Source organism: Homo sapiens, chromosome 15 (assembly GCF_000001405.40).
Source record: "Homo sapiens chromosome 15, GRCh38.p14 Primary Assembly".
NCBI classification, from domain to species: domain Eukaryota; kingdom Metazoa; phylum Chordata; class Mammalia; order Primates; family Hominidae; genus Homo; species Homo sapiens.
In genome coordinates this window covers 35,397,008-35,415,943 of record NC_000015.10, presented here as the reverse complement: position 1 = coordinate 35,415,943, position 18,936 = coordinate 35,397,008, and the positions used below count along the sequence as shown (strand labels likewise).

The 18,936-nt window shown below is 35.3% G+C and overlaps 1 protein-coding gene and 1 pseudogene across 11 annotated transcripts in view; one reads left to right on the top strand and one right to left on the bottom strand.

Moving 5' to 3' along the window:
- Positions 1-18,936, top strand: part of DPH6 (diphthamine biosynthesis 6) — a 401,189-nt gene that overhangs the window by 130,222 nt on the left and 252,031 nt on the right. For all 11 annotated transcript variants that reach the window (XR_001751412.3, XR_007064493.1, XR_001751413.3 and 8 more), the window contains exon 6: positions 5,048-5,109. Coding sequence is in view for 7 of the 11 variants with exons in the window: in XM_047433263.1 (XP_047289219.1) it covers positions 5,048-5,109 (62 nt within the window). In the remaining 4 variants the exon portion in view is untranslated. The remainder of the gene's footprint in view (positions 1-5,047; positions 5,110-18,936) is intronic.
- Positions 14,078-15,314, bottom strand: HNRNPA1P45 (heterogeneous nuclear ribonucleoprotein A1 pseudogene 45; annotated as a pseudogene).

The window sequence follows — 18,936 nt, the reverse complement described above, 5'->3', positions numbered from 1 at the left end:
TTTATTATTAACTCTGAGAGAAAAGAAATTTGGCTCTTAAATATTTTAGGTATTTTCTAGTTTTACAATAATCTCCTTTTGTAGTGAAATGATCTCTAATATGTCTCAGGAAAATGGTTGAAAATTTTTCTCTAATGTTTTAAATGTTATTTACTTCAATGATTTTAGCTTCATAGAATTTTTAGTGCTTAGCCCAAGAATAACTAAATTGAAAATACTTTCATGAATACAGAAAAGTGTTTAAATGGCCAACTAATTTTTACCAAGGTATACCTGTGTGAAGATCACAGGTTCATGTGGAAAGTGTGCCCAGTGTGTTTTATATTTACATTATTTACTGACTCATATTTAAAGGCAACCCAAATAACTTTATCCACTGTGGAATACAGCCATCTCTGAAATGAGATGTAACTGCTATTTCTATATTTTAACAATTCTGAACTGGGGCTTGATACTCTGCAACGAATTAAAAGACTGCAAGAAAAATGAGATCTTATGGTGCCTACCTGTGTAAAGCTCTATGCTCTTAAATTCCCTTTCATGCCTTATAGGCATATATTTGCATATATTTACTTCCAGACTCGTACATAGAATGCAAAACACAAATTCTCAAATTCAATCATGGGAGACTTTTTAAATGATGCCCTAATGCTGACTGTGTTATATGTATGTGTTGTTACACACACACACACACAGTTAGAGGGAAGGCTAAAAAGTGACTTCCAGCCATGCTGACCTTGTATATTCATGCTTTGGATTTTAACATATTTCCCAAACCCATGGCAGTCATAGATGAATATAAGAAGGAAAAATGTGAAAAACGTAATTGTACTGGAAAACATTGTAAACATCTCTGTTAGCTAGAAATGAAAAGACAAAAAGTAGTGAACAGGACTGAAGTTGTGTGCTGTAATGTAGGGATCCAGGAAGCAGGCAAAAGCAGTTGGAAGATCATGTCCTGTTGGGAAACAGAAATGGGAAGTGCCCTACAAGAGGGAGAACCTCAAAGAGATCAAGAAAAATATAAAATCTATTTGTTTAAAAAAGTGATTATTAGAAAAATAAATTGCCTGGAATGAAACAGTAACAGAGTGATGTGAAAACCAATTAGAAATTTTAGAAATGAAACATAGTCATGAAAAAAAACTTCAGTGGGCAGAATAAATGCTAGTCACGTCAAAGAGAGAATGAGTGCAGCAGAAAAAAAAGAGAAAAAGTAATTCACCAAGAAGGCATAGAGAGAGGAAAAAAATAGAAAAAGCCACAGACAGAGGAAAAAAATAGAAAATGCAATTAAAACATGGAGGCTAGATTGGGAAATTGAAATATTTGTGTAATAGGTGTTTCAAGGAAAAAATAGAAGGCAGAAAAGCAGATGTAATAGCTGAAAATGCTCTAGATTTGAAGAAAGACATGAGTTTTTGGATTAAAAGTACGCATTAGGTGCTGTCCAGTACTAATTAAAATAAACATGTGCCTAGACATATTGAATTAAGATTGCAAAATGTACTAAGTATGTTGAAAATTGTGTCATAGGTACATTGAAAATTGTACAATCTAGCATATAGAAAATAAAGATTCCTTATATGGGAGCCACTATCATACTGACATCATAATTTTCATTAGGAACAACAAATGCCAAAAGTAATATATTGCAACTAAACTATTGTGAGAGTAACATAGAGACATTATGAGACCTATAAAAACTGGGAGAGTATACCACTCACAGATCATCAGTGAAAGAATAAAGAACAAATTTCAGTTAGAAATAGATTGATTCAAGGAGAAATGAATGAGAAACAATAGTGAGCATAAACATTGTAAATATGTTGATAACCTTAATTTTTCTTGCTAAAAATAATGGAACAAAAATTCAACACAATAATAATAGTAATGATGAAGCCTGTTTAGTGCCTAGTTAAAACATACTAAGTTCTGGTCTAAAGGATGCTAAAGATACTTAATACATTAAGACTTTAAAAATATGGTTTTGAATGTATGTAAAAAATCACAGATGATTATCCGAAAAGTAGAAATTCACTCTATAGCATTCTGATCAGCAGAGTAAAACATTAAAATAATTTTCAATTCAGTATGAGGCAGAAAAAAATAAAAGAAAAATATATAAAGCTTAATGTACAGAAAATTTATACTCAGATGGTAGAAACAGGTCCAGCCATATAATATAAAATGATTAAACTCAATTCTTTGGAGTCATATTTATAAGATTGGGTGGAACAAAAGAAATCCAATTATATGTGGGCATCTAAAACAAAAACAATACAAAAAATTTGAGAACAAATAATGGAAAATATATATAAGAAAGATATTAGCAAAAGAAAGCTGGTGTCACAGTGTTCATAGAAGACATATAGATTACAAGATAAAAATCTGATGGAGATGAAATAGTCACTACTTCTTGATAAGCAGAATAATTCCATCAAGAAGTTTTAGAAATTATGAGTTTGTGCACATATAACAACATAGCTTTCAAATATATTAAGGAAAAATGACAGAATTGTAAGAAGAGATTATTAAAACCAAAATCATAATGGGTGTTTTTTTAATCTTATTATTAGAAACTGATGGTTCATGGAGATCAAAAATTTTTAAGGCCATAAAAGATGTGAACAACAAAATTAACAAGTATGATCATGATTTTATGTGTTTAGGTACATAATCTTGCTTTCAACAGATAGAAAACATACTTTCATTCGAGCAGAAATGGAGCATTTATGAAATTTGATTATGCTCTAGACCACAAGGAAACTTTACCAAATTTTTTTATTTTATTTTGTTAAAGCAGTTGTAGGTTCACAGCAAATTAAGAGAAATGTACAGAGATTTTCCATTTACCCTGACCCCATACCGCATGACCTCCCCCATTATCAACCTCCCCTGCTAGAGTTGTACATTTGTTAAAATTGTTGAACTTACAATGACACATCATAATCACCCAAAGTTCATAGTTTACATTAAGGTTCACTGCTGGTGATGTACATTCTACAGGCTTCGACAGATGTATAATAACATGTATTCATCATTATAGTATCGTGCAGAGTATTTTTCTACCCTACAAATCATCTGTGTTCTGCCTATTTAACCTTGTCTGCCCCCTACCCAAAACCCCTGGCAATCACTGGCCTTTCTACTATCTTCATAGTTTTATCTTTTCCAGAATGTCATATAGTTGGAATCATACCATATGTAGCGTTTTCAAATTGGCTTTTTTCACTTAGTAATATACATTTACATTTCCTCCATGTATTTTCATGGCTTGATAGCTGCTTTCTTTTTAGCACTGAATAATATTTCATTGTCTGGATATACACAATTTACTTAGTCGTTCACCTACTGAAATACATTTTGGTGCTCCAGATTTTGACAATTATGAATAAAACTGCTATAAATATCCATGTGCAGGTTTTTGTGCAGAAAAGGGTTTTTAATACCTTGGGTAAACACCAAGGAACACCACAGTTGGATCGTATAGTAAGAATATGTTCAGTTTTGTAAGAACCTCCCAACTGTCTTACAAAGTGACTGTACCATTTTGCATTCCAATCAGCAATAGTATTGCTCTACATCCTTGCCAGCTTTTGGTGTTGTAAGTTCTCCAGATTTTGGCCACTATAATAGGTGTGTAGTGGTTTCTTCTTCTTGTTTTATTTGCATTTCTCTGGTGACATATGATGTGGAGGATCTTTTCATATGCTTATATATATCTTTAGCGAGGTGTCTGTTAAGGTCTTTTGCCCATTTTTAAATTGGATTGTTGTTTGCTTATTGTTGAGTTTTAAGAGTTCTTTGTATATATTAGATAATAGTCCTTTATCAGATGTTCTTTGCACATATTTTCTCCCAGTCTGTGGCTTTTATTCTTACTCTCTTTACATTATCTTTCACAGAGCAGAGGTTTTTTAATTTTAATGAAGTCAGCTTATTAATTGTTTCCTTAATGGATCGTGCTTTTGGTGAGGTATCTTAGAAGTCATCACCATACCCAAGACCATCTAGATTTTTTTCCTGTTATAGGAGTTTTATAATTTTGCATTTTGCCTTTATGTCTACAATCTGTTTTAAGTTAATTTTGTGAAGAGTGTAAAGTCTGTGTCTAGATCCATTTTTTTGCATGTGGATATCCAGTTATTTCACACCATTTGTTGACAAAACTGTCTTTGCTCTATAGTATTGCCTTTCATTACATTAACTTTTGTAAATGAAACTATGCCAATATATGTAAATATGAATGTAAATATCCAAAATGAATTCATTTATTTCATAGCCCACTTGTGACATGGGATTTTTTTTCCTAGCTGGTTAGTCTTGGTGTATGGAAAGCATTCATATTGCTCACACTTGTCTCCCACACCCCATTACCTATATAAACTCTACTGTTATGTCAGTTGAATCTTTATTAAAGGTTACGCACACGCTATTGGCACAGTAATGATTTTTCAGAGTTGTCTCTATCTTTACTTGAAAAATACAGTGTTGCGAAGGAGTCATTGAAATGAAATGTCATTTAATTTAATAATGCAATTATTTGTGCCCATATGCCACTGTTAAGTGAATTAATTACATAAGCATAACAGTCTACTGCTATTTTCTACTCTTATTGTCTAAGAAGTTTGAAGTTTAAATAAAACAGGGATAAATCAGAAAATTAATGCTGTTGTCCATCAGTAAAATAAATCATAACCATTAAAATATAAAGAATTAAAATTTCATGTAATTGAAATGATACTCTTTTTTTCTATCTAATTACTGCTCCTCAAAATGGATAAAGGAATTGAAACAATGCGTCTGGTAGTTGACACAGTGCAATTGAAATAAGTGGAAACTTACTTTTCAGAAGCAATAAAACCAGTTACCCAAGGGGAATAGAAAAGTAAATACTAGCAAAGTACATTTTACTTTATGATCAAAGCAATTCAAAATATATACACACTGCTTTTCTAGGTGAGGAGGGGCCAAGGGAAGGGGAATGTGTCTTTAAAGTTCCTATCTGATAGTTATCTTTAAAAAATGTAACCTTTCTTGGCAGGTTTAGATCCTGATAAGCATCTTGGGAAAACCCTGGATCAAATGGAGCCTTATCTCATAGAGGTAAGAATTTATACTAGATCTCAAAATGTAGCCATCTAAAGGAGAAAACAAAATAATGCTGTGATACAATGATTAAAAAATTTACTTTATTTTAGTAAAAATCAAATACATTCATAATATATTTATGAAAAAATTAAACTTCAAATGGAAATGAAAATGTTTAAAATTATAAAAATTAATTACCAACTTGTTAACCCAGATATGACACAGTTATACCTAAGAAGAAATTAGTCTGTCAGAAAGTCTATTTTTATTAAAATGAGCACCGTATTCTATATAAAATGTGCTATACTATTAAAGTATCTGATAGTTTCTGTGATCACATGCTTTTTCATCAGAAACAGGAGTAGAAACTTTCTTTAGAGATTAATGTAACCCCTTCTCTTTTACCAATTAGGAAATTAACTTGCAGCATAGTAAAAAAAGTTATCCCAAGATTTCAAATTACTCTACTTAACTTCTCATTGTGAAACCCTAAACATGTTCTAAACATTAAATATTCAGTTGTTTTCATTTACTCTTTCTATTAAATGTACTATATTTTATTAGAGTTTTAGAACAAATGTTATGTTTAGTCTGGCAATGCATCATTAACTAGAATGTTTAATTATTACACTATGTGGAGTATTTATATTCTACCATGATGATGGAAAAAAGAAAATCTCCTATGAAAGAACCTATCTCTTTTAACAAGTCATCATTTTCTTGTCCCATGCTCTTAATTCATCAGTATTGTCTCTAGGCTTTGTTAATACCACTGCTGTGATATGAACTCTTAGCAGTTACACTTTTCAATAACTTCATGGGTTTTACCTTTTTTGGGGAGTTATTTGTAATTGATTATTTTATGGTTTATGAATCAATATGTACCAAATGCCTAGAAATCTCCGAAATGTTATTTTTTTCATAGTGTTAATTCCTTAATAATTATTATTAAGCATCTAGTATATTCCAGGCAGATAGTAAAGATTAAAAGAAAAATGAAATGATTATGTAATTGTGATAAATTATATTTGGTTTCTAGATAATTTGATGTCATTTATTTAAGTCAATTTATGGAACATGGTTGCTTTCTATGCTTATGTGATAGGACTTTTCTCACAGTGATTTGTTCTGTAGCTCCATTATATCATGTTTACATCTGTTCACTGCCATCAGACTAAATTTAGCTTCTACCAAAATGTTGTATAAATTTATGGAAATGAAAGAGAAATTCAGAAGTGAGAGACTGTGGCATTAGCCAAAGTTATTGGCCAAAAGAGCTATTTCCGAAATTTGAAGTCATAAGTTTAGATTTTAAGTGTGTTGCTATTCTTTGTAGAAAAGGCAAGTAAGGTTTTGAGAAGCACCACGATGTTGATTATGAGTTAACCTGGGTATTATCATAGGATGTTTAAACACAAAATGCAGAAATCATTTTATTCAATGATTCTTCAGCAAGTTCCTCAACTTGGTCTGGCAATCTTGTATTTCCCTAGAATTATTTTCCTCCCATTCTCCATAATGGTAATTTTATTCCTTCTCCATTCTCCTCAAATTTAAAATCCCTTCACCTTCCCCCTTACTTTAAGTGGATGATGCATCTTCCTTCACAGAGGAAATAGAAGCCATGATATAGGAAATCACCCTGCCTCCCTCCCAACCCCAGCACCACCCCTACTAATTTCCCTCTACCTACACCTATCCTTGCTTACTGTAACTGGGAGAAGTGTTCTTTCCTATTTATATGGCTGAGGCCCTACCTGTGCTTGGATCCCATTCACACCTGTCTTCTCAGAGATCTTGCAGTCAACCCACCCCCTCGACTGTCTTTATTCTCGCTCTCTTTGTCTCCTTCATATCAATATCAAAACATAATACAGATTGTCCCATCCTAAAGACCCCCTTTCTCCACCCTAGTTCTTCTCTGACTACCTCTCTTTCTTCTTTGCTTCAAAACCAAAATATTTAGAAGTGTTATCTGTATTCATTGTCAGTACTACTTCATGTCTGAGATGCCTCAAGTACCTGGAATCTGTCTTCTCATTCTGCCTCTAAACGGATACAGTGCTGACCAAAATCACTCACGATACCCATTTTACCAAACACAATAGATACTTCTTAGTCCTTATTTACCAGTTACAAACACATCTTCTTGAAATGTTTCTACTTACATTCATGGAACCACACTCTCCTAGTTTTTCTCCTTTCATTCTGGATAGTCCTACTCTTTTTCTGACTCCTAGTTTAGGCTCCATTTTCCGTCTAGAAACTTTCTCTAGGTAATCTCAGTTGCTCACTTGACTTTAACTATTAGCTGTATTCTGATGACTCCCAAGTCTTTCTGGTCCATATTTATCAGCTAAGCTTCAGTGCCCACAGATACCACAAATTCAATCTCTACTTACTCGATGGTAGCCTTGATATCCATCATTTTTTGCCATTCTCTTTGTCATCACCTTAATTCAGATGTGTGTTACTTCAGGCCTAGAATATTACTGACACCTCCAGATTTGCCTCTACCTTCTATTTTATTTCCCAAAGAATTCCTGTTGCTTCTTGCCTCAAGATAATTGTGCTAATATATTCTACTGTATTTGTGTCACTCAGTCAAAACTTTAAGTGAGTCCTCATTGCCTACAGGCAAAAATCCAAATTCTTTAGACTCCTCTTTCCCTCACCTGCTATATCTAACTCATTAACATGATCTTGTCTGCTGTATTTCCGAATATATTCTATTATAAATCCAAGCACTTCTCACTGTCTCTACTACTACCACCATACCATAATCACCTCTTGTCTGGAATACTACCTCAACCCCTAACTGGTCTGCTTACTTCCACCATTGCCCTGCCATGATCCGTTATTTATATAGATGTCAGAATGGTATTTTTAAAGTGTAAATCATATCATACCCCTACTTTGTTTAAAATGTAAGTGGGTTCTTGTTGCAATTAGAATAACATCCAAACAGCTATGAGGTCACAACTTGTGAGACCCTGTACGATCAGCATCCTATCCACCTTTTCAGGCTCATCTTCTACCGTTCTCCTATTCTCTGTCTCATTCCCTTAGCTGTAGCCACGTAGGTCTCTTTATTACTTAAACACACTTTATTCTCCCTTTTTCTCATTAGGACCTTCCCCTGCCTGAAATGTTTTGTCCACAGTCTATCACTGGTTAATACCTTCTCATTATTTAAATGATAACTCAAATGCTACCTCCTCAAAGAAGCTTTCCCTGACTACCCTAGCTAAAGCAGATCTCTGCAAATTATTTTATTTGTTCATCTGTTTACATGTGTATTACCTACCCTGTACCATTACAATGTAAGCTCCAATAATCTTGCCAAGATTTTGGCAGATGTTAGTTCTTTGGTTCTTTCATTCAGTAGCTTTTCATCTCTCCATCTATTCATTCATCTCATTTTTAAATTATTGAATATTTGTTGAGGGTCTATTATGTGACAGATGCTATGGTGAACACTAAGTATACATGATGAGTTAAACAAACAAGGTACTTGTTCTTGAAGAGTTTACAATTTGCTATAGTTGTTTTCAGACCTGAGGGTGTAATTCACTGGAAACCTTCTTTAAAAAAAAATGCATAAATTCTTTTTCCATCCCCACAAATTTCCGCTCCGAGGGACCAGAAATCTGACCTTTAAACAAGCACGAGGTAATTCTGTCACATTAATATAGTATGTAATCTTCTAGTTTCTCAATACCACTGACACATTTCAGCTCCTGTCTTTCTGGATTTCTCTGAAAGAGTGTGTTGCTTCTTGAAACTGTCATCCATTGGCTTCTGTGAGGCTACTCACTCCTGAAATCTTTCTGAGTACTTCCTTAGCTTTCCTTTGGGGCTTTCCACGTATACTCCACCTTTTATATATTGTGGTTCCCTCCATAGCCTTCCTCCTGTGGTGATCTGAAATAGTCCCATGACTTCAACTACCAGTTTTATTCTTGTAACAACTAAGTCTATTTCTCCAACATTTTCCTGTGTTTCAGACATGTATATGTATTCAGCTGTACCTCCACACTGTCATCTATTAAATGTCCCCAAGCCCCTCAACCTCAACAGCAGAACTAAGCATTTCTTTCTTAACTTATCTATGCCATTTTTATGTTTCCTGACACTGAAGGGCTGGCCCCATTGTCTGCTCAGTTGTTCAAGCCAAAAAAATGAATTGTAATAAATAATTTCATATACTCCTTTGTTCCTAAGAACCTAAGTCCTTTTAATTCTACCTTCTTAATATCTTACTATTTCCTCCTTTTTATCCTCACAGTCACCACATTAGCATCTGCTGTAGATTATTGCAGCAGTCATCTAGCACAAGTATCTCCTCCCTGTCTTGCCCCTTGTCAGTCAATTGTCCACAGTCCCATCATGATATATATGAAATGCAAAGCTAATCATATCATATTACACTTTCCTTGTGAACTTTGGAGTTGCTCCCCATGCTTCAAAATAAAATTTAAACTGCTTACCCTGACACAATCTGTCCTTGGGGGAAAATGAGGCTTATAAGATAGGTAGTCAATGGAATACTCCCTATGCTTCATCGATTTTGAACTATCGATGGTTTCCCAGAGTGAATATCTCCTCCTACCTCCATGTTATCCTTCCCTCTCTGCATGCATTATCCCTTTGTCACTCAGCTAAATCTCTCTTTAAAATCTCAATTCAAAGCTCACTACTGTAAGGTTTTCTTGCTTAAATAAGCTTTCTTTGAGCTGCCATTTTTCTCTTGCCTCATGGCATATAATATTTATCATACTATTTTTTCTTTTAAATAGTGTGTATTAAATATAAAATTAAAACATGCGATACGTGCGTGAAAAATAAATTCAACACAATAAAATAATGAAAAGTCTTCCAGTGACACCAAGCCCCTAGTATAGAAAGAACATACCTCAACATTTGATAAACTTCAACATCCCTTCATGATAAAAACCCTCAAAAAACTGGGTATAGAAAGAACATACCTCAACATAATAAAAGCCTTATATGACAGATCCACAGCGAGTATCATACTGAATGGGGAAAAACTGAAAGCTTTTCCTCTTAGATCTGGAACATGACAAAGATGCCCATTTCACCACTGTTATTCAACATAGTACTGGAAGTCTTAGCTAGAGCAATCAGACAAGAGAAAGATATAGAGCATCCAAATTGGAAAAGAAGTCAAATTATCCTTGCTTGCTTAGGATATGATTGTATATTTCAAAAAACCTAAAGAGACCAACAAAAAACTATTAGAACTGATAAACAAGTTCAGTAAAGTTGTGGGACAGAAAATCAACAAACAAAAATCAATAGCATGTCTATATGCCAACAGTGAACAATCTGAAAAAGAAATCAAAAAAGTAATCCCATTTACAATAGCCACAAATAAAATTAAATACCCAGGAATTGACCAAAGAAATGAAAGATGTCTACAAAGAAAACTATAAAACACTGATGAAAAAATTGAAGTGGACATTAAAAAATGAAGACATTCTATGTTCATGGATTGGAAGAATCAATGTTATTAAAATGTCCATACTACCTAAAGCAATCTGCAGATTCACTGCAATTTCTATCAAAATACCAATGACATTTTTCACAACAATAGTAAAAAAAAAATCCTAAAATTTATATGGAATCCCAAAAGACCCAGAATAGCAAAAAGAACAAAACTGGAGGGATTGCATTACCTGACTTCAAACTCTGCTACAGAGCTATAGTAACCAAAATAGCATGGTACTGGCCTAAAAACAGACACACAGACCAATGGAACAGGATAGAGAACCCAGAAACAAATCTACACACCTGTAACAAATTCATTTTTGACAAAGATGCCAAGAACATACATTGGGGAAAAACAATCTCTTCAATAAATTATGTAGGGAAAACTAGACATCTATATGCAGAAAAATAAAACTTGATCCCTCTCTCTCACCTTATACAACAGTCAAATCAAAATGGATTAAAGACTTAAATCTAACACCTCAAATTATGAAACTCCTACAAGAACACATTGGGGAACTTCTCCAGGACACGGGTCTGGGCAAAGACTTCTTGAGTAATACCACCCCCCAACCAGGCAACCAAAGCAATAGTGGACAGATGGGATTGCATCAAGTTAAAAAGCTGCACAGCGAAGGAAACAATCAACAAAGTGCAGAGACAACCCACAGAATGGGACAAAATATTTGCAGACTACACATCTGATAAAAGATTTATAGCTAGAATATAGAAGGAGCTTATACAACTCTATAGGAAAAAAATCTAATGATCCAATTCAAAAATGGACAAAAGAATTGAATGGACAGTTCTCAAAAGAAGACACACAAGTGTCAAACAGACATAGGAAAAGGTGTTCAACATCATTGATCACCAGAGAAATGCAAATCAAAACTACAATGAGATATCTCTCACACCAGTTAAAATGGCTTTTATCCAAAAGATAGGCAATAAATATTGATGAGGATGTGGAGAAAAGGGAACCCTCATATGCTGTCTATGGGAATGTAAATTAGTACAACTACTCTGGAGAAGTGTTTGGAGGCTCCTCAAAAAACTAAAAAATAGAGCTACTATATGATCCAGCAATCTCACTGCTAGATATATACCCAAAAGAAAGGAAATCAGTGTATCAAAGGTATATCTGCACTCCCATGTTTGTTGCAACACTGTTCACAATAGCCAAGATTTGGAAGCAACCCAAGTGTCCATCAACATATGAATGGATAAAGAAAATGTGCTGCTTACACACTATGGAGTACTGTTCAGCCATTAAAAAGAATGAGATTCTGTCATTTGCAGCAACATGGATGGAACTGGAGGTGATTATGTTAAGTGAAATAAGCCAGGCACAGAAATACAAACATCACACATTGTCACTTATTTGTGGGATCTAAAAATCAAAACAATTGAATTCATGGAAATAGAAACTAAAAGGATGGTTACCAGAGGCTGGAAATGGTAGTGGGGGACCACCAGGGAGTTGGAGATGGTTAATGGGTACAAAAAAAAAAAAAAAGGAATGAATGAATAAGCTGAGCAGGATGGCTTATGCCTTTAATGTCAGCACTTTTGAGAGGCCAAGGTGAGTGAATCACTTCAGTCCAGGAGTTCAAGACCAGCCTGGGCAATGTGGCAAACTGTCGACTACAAAAAATATGAAAAAACTAGCCAAGCATGGTGGCACATGCCTATCCCAGCTACTTAGGAGGCTGAGGTGTGAGGATCACCTGAGTCCAGGAAGTCGAGGCTGCCATGAGCCATGATTGTGTCACCATACTCCACCCTGGGTGACAGAGTAAGACCCTGTCTCAAAAAAATAAAAATAAAGAAAGGATGAATAAGACCTAGTGTTTGATAGCACAACAGGGGGCCTATAGTCAATAATAATTTAATTTTACATTTTTAAATAACTAAAAAAGTGTAATTGGACTGATTCTAACATAAAGAATAAATACTTGAGCAGATGGATACTGATACTCCATATATATATATATACCTACTATGTACCCATAAAATTAAACAATTTTTAATGCAAAATTTAAAAACAAAACAGCAGAAAAATAAAAATAGCTATTGCTGAAAATTCAAAATATAATCAAGTGAAAGAAAGCAAGTAAAAACCATACCTTTCTTGCCCCATGGTGTACATGATCCACATATTGGTATATTCCCTCATGATTTATTTCCTGAGAATTTGTTTTATATACAAGGTTATGTAGTTAAACACTTGTGTATATTTTATTTACATAATGGGATTCAACTATACATACAATTTTGCCTCCTTTTTCTTCTAACATGCCATGTTCATTTTCCTACATAATTAAGTATACTTTGAAAAGACATTAATTAATGGCTGGGTAGATTTTAATCATATTTGTATTTTACATATGAAGGTATCATTATTTACTTATGATATATGCATAATGAAATAATTATATAAGATATTATAAGTTATCTGTTGTTGGAAAGATTGGTTTTTCTAAATCATTAAAAATAACATTATGATTGTCATCTTTTCTAATAAATCTTCATGCACATTTCTGGTTATTTTCTTAAGTTCCTAGGAATATAATTTCTGGGTTAAAGAATACAAAACTTTAAGGCTTATACACTAACTACTCCATGAAATAATTTTAGCCATTGTTTCTTAAACTTCTGTAGAATTTTTAAATTATAATCTTATAAGCAAATAATGGATTATATAATGGTTTTATGTTTTGTGGGGCTTTATGTCCTAAGACCATTTTCTCATTTTCCAAAGAGAAGGTAAATTTTAATACAAATTGCACTATTAAAGGTTTAGAACTATTCTTTGAACAGCTTCCTTGTTTATTAATAGTATTCTAATTGTGTAAATTTTTTCAAGAGAATTAGTTTATTGATTATACATGATAATGGATGATATACAAGCTTCAGTCCCATCTATAATTTTATCTGGTACCATTATTCAATTTAGGTATATTGCATAGGATGTGCCAACAATCATTTTTATAACCAATAATTCCACGATTTTGCTTGGGTAATCCCTTTTCATGGTGAACTTCAGGTCACAACAGTAACTATCAGTTGAACTGCACAGAGGTTTCTGAAGACAATGGCTTCTCCACACAAGCAGGTTGTATATAAATTCCAAATAGAACCTGGCATCACCCTGAAGGAATTCTAACTTCACACTGTTGGGGAAATTTACCAAGATGGCTTCAGAGTAGACTAACTACACAACACGTTTTTTAAAAAGACACATTTATTCAGCGTGACAATTAGACTATTACATTTAGCAATCAACAGCATGGGCACAAAAAAACATCTACATTGATACCCTTTGTTGGAATGCTTTACACTTTCCACAGAAGAGAAACTAAAATGACCTGTTATAAAACTCATCACAAATACAGTCCTTGAGTCTTTTGCCCATACACATGAGTATTTGTCTAAAGCATGTCTTCTTTGTAGCAGCTAGGCCCTGCCACCACTGTGCTTGACTGAGTTCACAAATCTGTTATAACCTGTAGTTTCGCTGTCAACTTCTCTGGCTCTCCTCTCCTGTTAAGCTTTGTTTCCTGGCAGTAATTAAAATCTTCTGCCACTGTCGTAGCTACCGCTGCTACTGGAACCACCATAGCCACCTTGGTGTCGTGGTTTGGCAAAGTATTGGCCTCCAACACCATAGGAGCCAGAGTTTCTGCCTCCAAAGTTTCCTACCTTCATGGTTCCAAAATTCGAAGATGATTGTTGTAATTGCCAAAATCATTGTAGCTTCCACCACCTCCAAAATTGCTTCCACTACCACCACCAAAGCCACCTCTGCCTCCATTGTTATAGCTGTCATAGCTGTCACTCCTGCCATAGCCACTGCCCTGGTTTCCATAACCCTGTCCACCACTTCCATAGCCCCTGCTTCCTCCAGAATAACCAGGGCCGCTTCCTCCATAACCACCATCATTACCAAAATCATTATAGCCATTCCCACTGCCGCCATACCCATCAGCACCACAGCTGCCACCAAAGCCACCATGATCACTGAAGTTTCCTCCACTACCAAAGTTGTCATTCCCACCGAAACTGTCTCCACAACCACCACCAAAGTTTCCAGAACCACTTTGTCCTCTTTGGCTGGATGAAGCACTAGCCATCTCTTGGTTTGACAGGGCTTTCCTAACTTCACAGTTGTGGCCATTCACAGTATGGTGTTTCTGAATGACAGTCTTATCCACAAAGTCATGGTCATCAAAGGTTACAAAGGCAAAGCCCCTTTTCTTCAATTTTTCTGTACTGTTGAAAATAATCTCTTAGGTGATGTTCTTCTGTGTCTTCTTTAATGCCAGCAACAAATGTCTTTTTCACAGTTGAGTGGGCACCTGGTCTTTGAGAATCTTCTTAGACAGCTCTCTTTGGTTCCACAACTCTTCATCCACCTTGTGTGGCCTTGCATTCATGGCTGCATCCACCTCCTCCACAGTGGCATATGAGACAAACCCAAAGCCCCTGGAATGTTTGGTGTTTGGATCTCTCATTATCACACAGTCCGTGAGCATTCCCCATTGCTCAGAATGGATCCTCGGGCTCTCATCGGTTGTTTCCAAGCTCAACCCTCCAATAAGAGCTTCCTCAGCTGTTCAGGCCCTTTTGGAGACTCTGACTTAGACATGATGGCAGGGGGAAGAGAGACTTTAATGATGCTTCCTCGGTGGCATCCACTGGCAGAAAGGCTAATTTTGTAATATTTTAAAATGTTAGTCAAGGTTTATATTCTCAAATGGTTCTTCAGTGTTTGACACAGAAACAGCCTTCCATGTTGTTTTTGATATTTACCTCTATGTCTCTGATTGTATGTTTGCATTACTACTTCATGATTCACTGCTACCACCACTAATATTTGTATTATTTATTGACTTTCCACTCTGGAATATGCAGATTTCACTGTGTTTACTCCCTTTCCCTCCATTACATATATGTTCTCTTTCCCTCCTTCCATCTTCCTATATTGTTACATTGCAATTCTGATTGGATCAATATCCAGTGTTTATATTATAATAACTGTAAAAGCCCAATACACAGCTAAGTCAGGTAATAAACTCTGGTAATAAACCTTTCTTTTCCTGTACAACTTTTATTTTTTCTCTTGAGTGAATAATTGTCTTGTTTCATTTATTTAGTAGTCTCTGTACTTATCACAAATTCAGCGCTACACTCATTGCCAGTTTTCTAATCTGTTAACCAGATGTTCAGACCTAAGAAGTATTTTGTCAGTTTCCTCCTGAAGAATCTTTTCCAGAGCCTTCTGACTTGATCTAATCTGAACCAGGTTCTCGCTATGCCTATTATAACGCTAACATTGGAGCATGTGCTCATAATACTGGGGTTCCCTTTACCTTCTTTCTGTGTTGGGAGTCCTTGTTGCCTGGATCCAGTGTTTTCCTTTGTTAACTCTTATTTTTGTGAAGCACATTCTCCAAGAGATTTCTAAGAAAGAACCCATGGGCGTAAATTTTTGAAGACTGCATACCTGAAAATGTCTTCAATCTTTCCTCACATTTGATGGATTCTGTAACTGGTCATAGAATTCTGTTTTGGGAATGATTTTCCTTCTGGATGTTGATAGTATTGCTTCATTGCCTTGTAGCTTGGTGTACTGTTGAAAAGCCCAAAGCCATTCTGATTCCTGACTAAATGTATGTGATGACTTTCTCCATATGTCTCCATTTCTTCTTTGGAAGTGTATAGGATATTCTTTTTGCCCCTAGAATTGTGACTCTTAGGTGTATCTTGGGTGTGTATGTTTTTATCCACTGTGCTGGAACAGGAATAATACTCAGTTTGGAAATTTGAGTTGTGGGAAGTTGCCTTGAATTATTTCATTAGTGTACCTCCCCTCTGACTTTGCTTTTAGAATTTCTGTTACTCTATAAATTCTTCTTTATTTCTGTTATTTAAATGTTCCTTAACTTTTAACTTTTGTCTCCTCATTTTGATCTAATTCATTTTGTTCTTTCTAGAATTTCTCAATTTTGCTTCTAATCTTGTTTTTATGTCATTTTTAATGTTTAAAAGCTTATTTTTTTGTTCTTTAAATGTTGTTTTTATTTAAAGCTATAATACCCCATCCTTAATGTAATATATTCTCTAATCTCCCTAAGAATATTGATAGCTTTTGTTTGTTTTGATTTTCTTCTCCCATGCATAGTCTATTTTCCTCACTGTTTGTTTTGGTCTCTAACTTTCATTTTAGAAATGTTCCTCAGATTTCTTGTAATCTGTGTTATTATGCTAATATTTAAGAGCAGGGAGCCTAAGAATTTGATTGTAAGCACTAGGTATGTGGATGGGGCTTTTTGACCCTGAGTTTTACTATAGGGGAATCTGAAGAAAAAATAAACTATTTATTTTTTTCTCTATGCTTGCACACCACTAAACACAACACTTGTGACACCAGATGTGTGAGGTTTTTCCCACACACCAAGCAATTCCTCAGCAGACACCAACTGTCTGTCTTACTATTCAATTTAATTCTGATACCACAGATTAAAGGTTCAGTGCTACAAGACTGCCACCACTTCAGATGCCAACCACAAGTAGTAGGTTGTTACCTATACTTCTGACTAACTGGCCATAAATCAAGCATTCCCACGACCTTTTTCTTGCGTTCTGTTAATTTGCTAGAACAGCTCACAGACTCTGGGAAACACTTTACTTACATTTACTGGTTTATTCATAAAGGATATAGTTTAGGATACAGATGAACAGCCAGATGCAGAGATGCATAGGGCAATGTATGTAGGAAGGCGGCACAGAGCTTCCAGGCTGTCTCTCAGCGCACCATCCTCCAGGCAGCTCCATGTGATCAGCGATCTGGAAGCTCTCTGAACCCTGTCCGTTCGGGTTTTCATGGAGGCTTCATTATGTAGGTGTGATTGATTATGTCATTGGCCATTGGTGAGCAACTAAACTTTCAGCACTTTTCCATTTCCAGGTAGCTAGGGGATAGGGCTATAAGTTCCAACCCTCTAATCACAAGGTTGGTTTCCCTGGCAACCATTGCCCATCCCAAGGCTATCCAGGAGCCCACCAAGGGTCACCTCATTAGAACAAAAGATGTTTCTGTCACTCAGGAAATTACAAAGGTCTTAGGAGCTCTGTCTCTGGAACTGGGGTCAAAGACCAAATGTTAGAACAAAAGATTCTCCTGGCACTCCTATCTACAAGAGTATTGGGAGCTCCATCTTGGGAACCAGGGGCAGAGAACAGATATTTATTTCTTACTATTTCACAGTATCACAGAAAGTATAGCAAGACTACTTAATCTGAGCTGTTCATATTCCAAAGCAAAGGATTCTCCATTCTCCTGTCTTGAAGGAGATAGCATGCTCTAATTTGCTTTTTTCTAGGAGTTGATTGGGAAAAATAGCTAGAGGTCTCAGAATCTTGTGTGTGTGTGTGTGTGTGTGTGTGTGTGTGTGTGTGTGTGTGTGTATATATATAAATTGATTCCATCTATTTTTATTATATACCTGTGTCCTTAACTATGTCTCATTTCTCCCAGGCCAGTTCCTCTGTTTATCTGCTGTAGGGAATAAACCTCCAGCATTCTGCCAGGGTAGAAGAGAAGCAGTAGCTAGCCTAGAGAGGGACCTAAGAATCTGACTGCTTGTTAATTAGTGCCCTTTTTCTTTCCCTCTCACTTCCAGAGGTACCTGGTGTCACTAGCTCCTTACCCTTTTGGTTATTCTATTGTGTAAATCAGATTGGTCCTCAGCATTCCCCATTGCTGGCCACAGGCTCAGTGTTCTTGGTCCTGATAAATTGGTTAATGCTGTCACCTCCTCTCCTGTGTTCTCCATCTCTGTGGGTTTATGCCATTTTATGAAATATTTTCCAGTAACATTTTAAAAGGGAGTGGAAGTAGATGCATAGGTTCAATCTACCATCTTTATCAGTAGCAGTTATTCTTTGAGATTTCTTATGATCATCTAAGTAAAAGTCATGTGCTAGATGGAAGAGCAAAATTATATTTTTAAAAATTGTGAGTGTGTAGGTTTAGTTGCTCTTTCTAAGCCAGCTGTCAAAGAATTGGGAAATCTGGCCTCCAGCCTTGAGTCAAAGGTAAACAGAAATGTATTGACTACTTAAGAAGCATACCACTCTGCTGGGTGCTGTAAGAGCTAAACCTGGATAAATGCAACTTAGATTTCAAGCTTAAAGGTTGTTAGGGCATGTATTCATTTTTAACAAGAAAGACACATATTTAAAAATACAGACTTCCTTTCCTAAATTATTCCCTACCTCATAAAAGATTAGATCCAGTTCTTGTTAATTGACAAATTTTCTTCTCAC